The sequence below is a fragment of the Homo sapiens genome, chromosome 16, assembly GCF_000001405.40.
Source record: "Homo sapiens chromosome 16, GRCh38.p14 Primary Assembly".
NCBI lineage: Eukaryota > Metazoa > Chordata > Mammalia > Primates > Hominidae > Homo > Homo sapiens.
The window spans coordinates 9167312-9177227 of record NC_000016.10 but is presented as its reverse complement, the minus strand read 5'-3'; the positions used below and the strand labels follow the sequence as shown (position 1 = coordinate 9177227).

At 46.8% G+C, this 9916-nt stretch overlaps 3 annotated features.

The window, feature by feature from the left end:
• Positions 1-502: an enhancer, noted in NCBI's record as "H3K27ac hESC enhancer chr16:9270583-9271084 (GRCh37/hg19 assembly coordinates)". NCBI's record gives its function as "activates a minimal SCP1, AML or CMV promoter by ChIP-STARR-seq in primed H9 embryonic stem cells {active_cell/tissue: H9 hESC(primed)}" and the evidence as "EXISTENCE:reporter gene assay evidence [ECO:0000049][PMID:30033119]".
• Positions 142-436: a silencer, noted in NCBI's record as "tiled region #3816; HepG2 Repressive DNase matched - State 20:ReprD, and K562 Repressive non-DNase unmatched - State 21:Repr". NCBI's record gives its function as "represses a minimal TATA promoter and a strong SV40 promoter by Sharpr-MPRA in HepG2 and K562 cells {active_cell/tissue: HepG2 | K562}" and the evidence as "EXISTENCE:reporter gene assay evidence [ECO:0000049][PMID:27701403]".
• Positions 9413-9916: an enhancer, noted in NCBI's record as "H3K27ac hESC enhancer chr16:9261169-9261672 (GRCh37/hg19 assembly coordinates)". NCBI's record gives its function as "activates a minimal SCP1, AML or CMV promoter by ChIP-STARR-seq in primed H9 embryonic stem cells {active_cell/tissue: H9 hESC(primed)}" and the evidence as "EXISTENCE:reporter gene assay evidence [ECO:0000049][PMID:30033119]".

Sequence of the window (9916 nt, the reverse complement as noted above, 5' to 3'; positions counted from 1 at the left end):
GAGGCTTTAGCCAACACTTCTAGGGTGGCTTGTTTTACCCAAGCACTGGAAATGAGGCAGCTGAGAGCAAACAGCAACAGCTGAAGACCTCAGGGAGGCAGGTCCTGCCCTCCCTGCTGGGAGAGGAGTCTGGCACAAAAGAAGCTTTAGCTTTAGGACGCTGGTGGAGCGAGCGACTGCTCCAACGGGCCTCGCCCTCACTGGACAGGATGGCAGTTGGACAAGACTCCAAACAATAAACAAAGCACAGTCCCTGCCATTGAGGACTTCCAAGTCTAGTGGGAACAATGGTGAAGTTGACAGGCAATTACATTTCAGCAGGATCAGAGCTAGCAAGGAGACCAATCAGGCTAAGTGGTCAAGGAAGATGTATGGGCTGAAGGTTTGTGTCCTCTCAAAGTTCATGTGTTGAAACCCTAATCCCCAACGTGATGCTATTGGAAGGTGGGGCCTTTGGGAGGTGATGAGGTTTAGCTGAGGTCATGGGGGTGTGGCCCTAATGATGAGATTAGTGTATTTATAAGAAGAGGAAGAAGCCAGGCGCGTTGGCTCATGCCTGTAGTCCCAGGACTTTAGGAGGCTGCGGCAGGCAGATCATCTAATGTCAGGAGTTCAAGACCAACCTGACCAACATGGTGAAACCTCCATCTCTACTAAAAGTAAAAAAAAAAAATGAGCCAGGTGTGGTGGTGCACGCCTGTAATCTCAGGTACTTGGGAGGCTGAGGCAGGAGAATCGCTTGAACCTGGGAGGCAGAGGTTGCAATGAGCCAAGATTGTGCCACTGCACTCCAGCCTGGGCAACAGAGTGAGACACCTACTCAAAAAGAAAAAAAAAAAAGAAGAAACACCAGGGCTTATCTCTCTCTTTCTCTCTCTCCCTCTCCGACCCCGTGCATGTGAGGACACAGAGAGTAAACGTCCAATTGCAAGCTGGAAAGGAGCTCCCACCAGAACCCTGAACTCAGACTTCCAGCCTCCAGAACTGTGAGAAAATCAATGTCTGCTGTTGAAGCCACCCCGTCTGTGGCAGCACAAACTGACTAAGACAGATGAGTTCTGGAGGAGACAATACCTGAGCCGACACCTGAAAGATGAATATGCATGAGCCAGTTAAACGAGAGAGAAGACTACTATACTCCCACCAGAACTGCTAGAATTAAAAAGACTAACAATGCCAAGTGTTGGCAAAGATGTGGAGCGACTAGAACTCCCACACACAGTTGGTGGGAGTCTAAATTGGTACCAGCACTTTGAAAACCTGCTTATACATTTCCTACAAGGTGAAACATACACCTATCCCACCACCTGGCAACTCCACTCCTGGCTATAAAGGCACCCACATACTAAGATGTGCACACTTTATACTGACTACATACATGTATGATATACCTTGATCAAAAGTTTTTTTAAAAAAAGAGAGGTGTCGACCAGGCACGGTGGCTCACACCTGTAATCCCGGCACTGTGGGAGGCCAGGGTAGGTGGACCAGCTGAGTTCAGGAGTTCCAGACCAGCCTGGCCAACATGGTGAAAACTTGTCTCTACTAAAAATACAAAACAAAAAAAAAAGTATCTGGGCATGGTGGCACACGCCTGTAATCCCAGCTACTTGGGAAGCTGAGGCAAGAGAATCGCTTGAACCCAGGAGGCAGAGGTTGCAGTGAGCCGAGATCACACCACTGCACTACAGCCTGCTTGACAGAGCTAGACTCCGCCTCAATTTGAAAAAAAAAAAAAAAGGAAAGAGAGACGTGGTACATATTATTTACATCTCTCTCTCTCTTTTTTTTTTTTTTTTTTTTTTGAGACAGAGCCTCACTCTTTTGCCCAGGCTGGAGTGCAATGGTGTGATCTCAGCTCACTGCAGCCTCTGCCTCCTGGGTTCAAGTAATTCTCATGCCTCAGCCTCCTGAGTAGCTGTGATTACAGGGGTGCGCCACCATACCCGGCTAATTTTTGTATTTTTAGTAGAGATGGGGATTCACCATGTTGCCCAGGCTGGTCTTGAACCCCTGACCTCAGGTGATCTGCCCACTTCAGCCTCCCAAAGTGCTGGGATTACAGGCGTGAGCCACTGCACAGGACTTTCTGTAAGTTTTTAACCAAGAAATTCCAATCAGTGAGCTTCCAACCTGAGAGCTGCCAACCAGAAAGGGTCCGATGAGACAATCGCTTAGAGACTTCATCCATCAACGTGCACAAGGAAATAATGAGATTTAGGGTCAGTGGCTTGGAGAGAAAAATGCTGAAAACAGCAACAGCAGATGGATGGGATAGTCAGAGAGGGGGCCCAGGTGACTCTTACTGTATAAGTAACTCTATAAGTGACTCTTACCATCCAAGAAAAGTGCTAGTTCCAAGGTGGAGAGAGGGGGAGGGCAGGAGAGAAGACGACCCTGTGTGGGAAGGTGTGGGATGCTCAGTGGGAAAGCTAATGAATGTCTGTCTCATCCCATTATACCAGGGCCCTTTACACGGCACGTAAAAATCCAACCAGCGTCTCCCCGACAGACTCTTTCTGCTCAGCCTGGCTTGTTTCTTCGTAACTGTAAAGTGGCAGAGCAGCGTTTTTAATTAATAAGCCATGTCTCTATCCCACCGTACATTTATTTAACTGCTCAACGCGACAACCAGGTACCTTTTGAGAAGGAGAAGAATTTTAAGAGGGTGGGAAGCGGGGCACAGGGGAGCGGCTTAAGGGTGTCAGATGAGCAGGTGCAGGCTTGTTAGTCGCTGTGAATGCATAAACCTCTGAAATTAATTTCACTGATGGTTCATTTTTTATTAATGTTTTCCTGGCCATAAAAAAGTAACACTCTATTCTCCTGAATTCCAGGGGAAAAGACACATTCTTGGGAAGAGGATAGATTCAAATATTATACGACGACCAACCCTCCTCTCTGCCTTCCTCCATCCATCCTCATTGTGTCATTTTTCTCTCCAAGCCACTGACCTGAAATCTCATTATCATTTCCTTGTGCATGTGGATGGATGAAGTCTGCAAGAGATTGTCTTGATAGACCCTTTCTGGTTGGCAGCTCTCAGAGGTTCTCAAAGAAAGATCTCAGATCATTCCAGTGGAGGGCAGGACCTGTTGGGAAGGGAGGCAGCTGGTGGGTCATAGAAGCCCTGAACCATGGGCTAGGGAAGCAGATACAAGTACCCCTCAGACCACATGCTCGTTGAGGAGCCCAGAGCAAGACATTGGCCTATCTGGTCATTGGTCCTTCCCGTCAAGGGAAGGAAATGATACATGGGCCAGGCACAGTGGCTTACCCCTGTAATCCCACCTTGGGAGACCAAGGCAGGCAGATCACTTCAAGTTAGGAGTTCGAAAACAGCCTGGCCAACATGATGAAACCCTGTCTCTACTGAAAATACAAAAATTAGCCAGGCATGGTGGCACAAGCCTGTAATCCCAGCTACTCAGGAGGCTGAGGCAAGAGAATCGCTTGAACCGGGGAGGCAGAGGTTGCAGTGAGACAAGATCACACCACTGCACTGCAGCCTGGGCAACAGAGCAAGACTCCATCTCAAAAAAATGAAATAAAATAAAATAAAAATAAATCTCTTTCTCTCTGCATGTATATCCTGTTTCTGTTTCTCTAGAGAATGCTAACACAAAGGTGTCTCACACCATTAATCAATAAATGATTGTAGGCTTGGTGTGGCAGCTTATGCCTGTAATCCCAATATTTTGGGAGCCTGAGGCAGGAAGACCTTTTGAGGCCAGGAGTTCAAGACCAACCTGGGTAGCATAGAGAGATCCCGTCTCTACAAAAAAAAATTAATCAAATAAATAATAAGAATAAAAGTAAGTTAATAAATAATCCTTACATAGATTTGCCAGCACCAAAACAACTGCCATTTGACCATTTTCTTTTTTAATAATACACTCGCCCAATAGTCTTCCATCTTTTTTCTTTTTCTTTCTGATTTTTTTCTCACTCAATAATCTTTAATTCATTTTCATAACTTTCAGAGATTTCACAAAAATTACAACGCTTAACTTAGGAAATAAAAATAACTTTAAGAAAAAGTAAAAGAAATAAACAAAAAACAAAAACAAAGAAAAAACAAAAATAAAGAAAATTTTAAAAATTACTTTAGTCTTTTTTATTTTTTTTTTTTTGAGACAGAGTCTCACTCTGTCACCCAGGCTGTGCAGTGCTGCAATCTCGTCTCACTGCAACCTCCGCCTCCCATGTTCAAGCGATTCTCCTGCCTCAGCCTCCCGAGTAGCTGGGATTACAGGCACCCGCCACCACGCCTGACTGATTTTTGTATTTTCAGTAGAGACGGGGTTTCACCATGTTGACCAGGCTGGTCTCGAACTCCTGACCTCAGGTGATCCACCCACCTCAGCCTCCCAAAGTGCTAGGATTACAAGCATGAGCCACCGCACCCAGCCTGCAGAAACAGTTCTATTAACCAAAAGTAATATGTTATAGCATAGAAACCCAGATATAGCGAAAGAGTCCACCCCCTCTCATGTCGAGGTGACCCTGGTTACTGGCACCATTTCTCTTCAATTAGGAAAAATTAGAAAGAATTGAGAGAGAACCACTCCGGTGTTGTTCAACCTTAGAGTCTGTGATTCTGTTGCATTTTCACAACTCCAGGCATAAGTTTAAACAGTAGGTCATGGGGGGAGTGGGGAGGGCTCCTGCAGATTGAATGGAATCAAAAGCCCAATTTCTTGTCTCTGAATTATAATTACATAAGCGCGTGGACAATCTTCCATTATAATCAGCTATAATTGGTAAAGGAAGGCCTCACTAATTCCAAAACTGCCATGGAAGAAGGAAAAATCTTGTATCTACCAGAAACATTTTGAATTCTGAAACATATTAAAGAAAAGCAGTTTGTTTCCCCTTCAAGTGTGTGCATTGAAAATAAACAACCAAGCACGGCCAAGCAGGAGCCGGTTCAGACCTGCTTGCTCCATAATAACCTATTTACATGTAACTGATCTGTCCCACTTCACCAGCTTACAGTACAAAATGAGGTCACCATCCTTTTTAATATTCAAATTAAATTACTCTGGGAGCACATATTGGTTCAACCTTTTTGGAGGGCAATTTTTGATAGCACCTCCCAAAATGTGAAATACGCTTACCTTTTAACTCAGAAATTCTACTTCTAGGAATCCGTCCTGCAGAAATACTTTCACCAATACATGATGACCTAAACTATGTTTCCTGCAGCATTGTATGGAAAAGACATGGGAACAACTTGGCTGGGCGCAGTGGTTCATGCCTGTAATCCCAGCACTTTGGGAGGCCGAGACAGGTTGATCACCTGAGGTCAGAAGTTCAAGACCAGCCTGGCCAACATGGTAAAACCCCATCTCTACTAAAAAATACAAAAATTAGCCAGGTGTGGTGGCAGGCGCTTGTAATCCCAGCTACTCAGGGGGCTGAGACAGGAGAATCACTTGAACCTGGGAGGCGGAGTGTACAGTGAGCCAACATCGCACCACTGCACTCCAGCCTGACCGACAGAGCAAGACTCTGTCCAAAAAAAAAAAGAAAAAGAAAAGAAAGAAATGGGAACGACGTGATTGCCAATTAACAGGGGATTGATTAGAAGGAACGAGGGGGGTATGTGCCTGTTTCAGAAGACCTTCAAGACAACTGTGCAGTAATAACACAAAGTAACCAAGCCACACAGAAAGCACAGTGACATTTATGTTTAAAACTATGCCATCCTACCTATTTATATGTATAGACATAGATATGTCTGTATCCCTATCTACATACATATATCTATGTCTATCTTGGTCTATGTCTTGAATTCTGTATCTACACACGTGTCTGTATCTATATCTACTCTACATCCATAGCAGAGCTATCTATCTATATGTATATCCATCTACATCTATTATCTGTCTATAGCTACATCCATATTTACATAAAAGTCTGAGAAACGAAATGTCACCAACAGACAAAATGAAGGTTATCAAAAGAAAACTTTTGGTCAGGCGCAGTGGCTCACGCCTGTAATCCCAACACTTTCAGAGGCCGAGGCAGGTGGATCACCTGAGATCAGGAGTTTGAGACCAGCTTAACCAATATGGTGAAACCCCATCTCTACTAAAAATATAAAAATTAGGCGGGCATGGTGGTGTGCGCCTGTAATCCCAGCTACTCAGGAGGCTGAGGTAGGAGAATCACTTGTACCTGGAGGCAGAGGTTACAATGAGCAGAGATCACGCCATTGACTCCAGCCTGGGCAACAAGAAGGAAACTCTGTCTCAAAGAAAAAAAAAAAAGAAAAAGACAACTTTCACTTTTTTTTGGAGGGGGTACAAGATCTTACTATGTTGCCCAGGCTGGTCTCAAGTACCTGGGCTCAAGTGATCCTCCTGCCTCGGCCCCCCGAAGTGCTGGGATTAAAAGTGGGAGCCACTGTGCCCCACCAACTTTCATTTTTGACTCCAAATGTTTCCATGCTGAGTTATTCCGTACGTGTGTATATTACTGACGGAGTTTTCAAAAATCACATGGCCCTGAGTCCCATCCTGCCAAGTCTCTCTTCCTGCTCCGGGGGACCCCTGCCATGATCGCGCCCAGGAATGTGTGCTGGGTGGCGGTGGTGAATCCTGTCGGTATCACAGCAGAAACAGAAACAAGAACATGTGAGCGGCCTGCAGGGGAGTCTGTGCAGCACACACTGTCCCTGAGGTCTGGCTGCCACATCCCAGGACCAGCTCTGTCCCCTGAAGAAAACATCCAGCCTGGTGCACAGTGCGTCTCAGGCCTGCTCGTGCTGCTGAAAGGGGCTTGGAAGTGGGGAACGGCTTCTGGGAGGGAGCTTTGGTGTGTTTCTTGGGGCCCTGAGTGTGGGGGCAGGACAGCTGAGGAGGACCCGGCAGCAGCTGAGTCCAGGCTGGGCCAAAAAGACACCACCACCGCATTGACTTAGATGAGCTGAAACTCACAATCCAGAAAGAAATAAGGACATCTCGGCCAGGCGCGGTGGCTCACGCCTCTAATCCCAGCACTTTGGGAGGCTAAGGCGGGCGGATCAACTGAGGTCAGGAGTTCAAGACCAGCCTGACCAACATGGTGAAACCCCTTCTCTACTAAAAATACAAAAATTAGCTGGGCATGGTGGCGCATGCCTGTAATCCAAGCTACTTGGGAGGCTGAGGCAAGAGAATCGCTTGAACCTGGGAGGAGGAGGTTGCAGTGAGCTGAGATCTCGCCATTGCCCAACAGCCTGGGCAACAAGAGCAAAATTCTGTCTCAAAAAACAAAGAAAGAAAGGACATTTCATCCTAGGAAGGTGGTGGCTTACATCCATGATCCCAAAAGGCCTTGGACCCCAGAAGCCTCTCTGCCGGGACTTAGACACAATCCTGGGAGAGGAGCAACCCAGGGACCCTGTAGACAAGAACAACTGCACCAGCCCAGGGGCTGAGGGTTCCGCTCAGGCAAAAAGTGATCAGACCTGAAGGTTCCTTTCCTAGACACACACAAACACTGTATTAGTCCGTTCTCACACTGCTATAAAGAATACTACCTGACAGTGGGTAATTATAAAGGAAGAGGTTTAATGGACTCACATTTCCACAGGCTTTATAGGAAGCATGGCTAGGAGGCCTCAGGAAACTTACAATCATGGTGGAAGACGACAGGGAAGCAGGCATCTTCTTCACAAGACTGTGGGAGGGAGTGTGTTTGTCAGCGCAGGAGAAACTACCATTTATAAAACCATCAGATCTCGAGAGAGTTCACTCACTATCATGAGAACAGAACGGAGGAAACCGCTCCCATGATCCAATCACTTCCTTCCCTCAACGTGTGGGGATTACAATTCAATATGAGATTTGAGTGAGGACACAGAGCCAAACCGTATCAAGCACATACGGAGGCACACACATGCACGCACACAGATATGCACACATGCTCACACACAGGCATGCACACACATGCTTACACGCAGGCATGCACACACATGCTCACACACAGGCATGCACACACATGCACACACACATACACCTATGCATACCAGTGGTCAAGATTAGCCAGAGCCTCTGTCCCAGAAGCAGACTGGGAGAGGGAAATTCAAGTGCAAATTGCTTATGATCCCAAAAACACAGGTAGAAGAAGAGAAATGAGATGGGAAGGGTGGTCAACACAGGATGTCCCTGTATTGTGAACAGGCCACTCTCTGAGAGACAGAGCGCCCCACCCGGAAGGCTGGTGAGCTGGAGTAGTTACCCAGCAACTCCCATCAGCCACTGATGGAGGATGCTCCCTGAGGGCAGGACCAGTGCAAACCCTTCTGTTATAATAGTTTGCTAGGGCTGGCGTAACAAAATACTGCAAATTGAGTGGCAGGTGTAGACAACAGTCATACACAATTCATTGTGTCACAGTCCTGCAGAATGCAAGTCCAAGGTCAAGGCTGAGAATCTGCCCTGCGCCTCTCTCCCAGCCTCTGGTCACTTGCTAGCCCCCACTGCTCATCGGCTTGTAGATGCATCACCCCCATCTCTGCCTTCATCTTAAGGTGGTGTTCTCGCTGCATATGTGTGTCTCTCTCTGTGTCCAAATTTCCCTTTTATTTTTATTTATTTATTTATTTATTTATTTATTTATTTATTTTGACATGGAGTATTGCTGTTGTCGCCCAGACTAGAGTGCAATGGCGCAATCTTGGCTCACTGCAACCTCTGCCTCCTGGATTCAAGCGATTCTCCTGCCTCATCCCTCCTGAGTAGCTGGGATTACAGGCACCCACCACCACACCCAGCTAATTTTTGTATTTTTAGTAGAGATTGCACCTGGCCCAAATTTCCCTTTTTTTTGTTTTTTTTTTTTGACACGGAGTCTCGCTCTGTTGCCCAGGCTGGAGTGCAGTGGTGCGATCTCGGCTCACTGCAACCTCCCCCACCCGAGTTCAAGCAATTCTCCTGCCTCAGCCTCCCAAGTAGCTGGGGTTACAGGCATGCACCACCATGCCAGACTAATTTTTTGTATATTTAGTAGAGACGGGGTTTCACCATGTTGGCCAGGCTGGTCTCGAACTCCTGACCTCAGGTGATCCACCCACCTCAGCCTCCCAAAGTGCTGGGATTACAAGCATGAGCCACCACGCCCAGCCAGAACTTCCATTTTTATAAGGACACTGGGGTGGGGGGCCAGGCACAGTGGCTCATGCCTGTAATCCTAGAACTTTGGAAGGCCGAGGCAGGAGGATCGCTTGAGGCCAGGTGTTCAAGACTCCCTACTCTACAAAAAAACAAGCAAATAAAAAAGCCAGGCATGGTGACACATCCCTGTAGTTCCAGCTACTTAGCACACTCAGGTGAGAATACTGCTTGAGCCCAGGAGTTCAAGGCTGTAGTGAGCTGAGATTGTACCATGGCACTCCAGCCTGGGCAATGGAATGAGACTCTGCCTCTAAAAAATAAAAAATCAATCAATAAGACATTAGTCAAATTGGATGGGGTGAGGTCGCACCACTGCACTCCAGCCTGGGCAACAGAGCGAGACTCCATGTCAAAAAAAAACAAAAAAAAAGGGAAATTTGGACCAGGTGCAATCGCTACTAAAAATACAAAAATTAGCTGGGTGTGGTGGTGCATGCCTGTAGTCCCAGCTACTCTGGAGCCTGAGGCAGGAGAATCTTGAACCTGGGAGGTGGAGGTCGCAGTGAGCCAAGATTGTGCCACTGCACTCCAGCCTGGGCGACAGAGTGAGACTCTGTCTCAAAAATAAATAAATAAATAAATAACATAAAGGCCAGGCACAGTGGCTCATGCCTGTAATCCCATCACTTTGGGAGGCTGAGAAGGGAGGGTCACTTGAGGCCAGGAGTTCAAGACCAGCCTTGGCAGCAAAGTGAGACCCTGCCTCTACAAATAGGGTCTACAAAGACCCTATTTCCTAATAAAGTCAAATT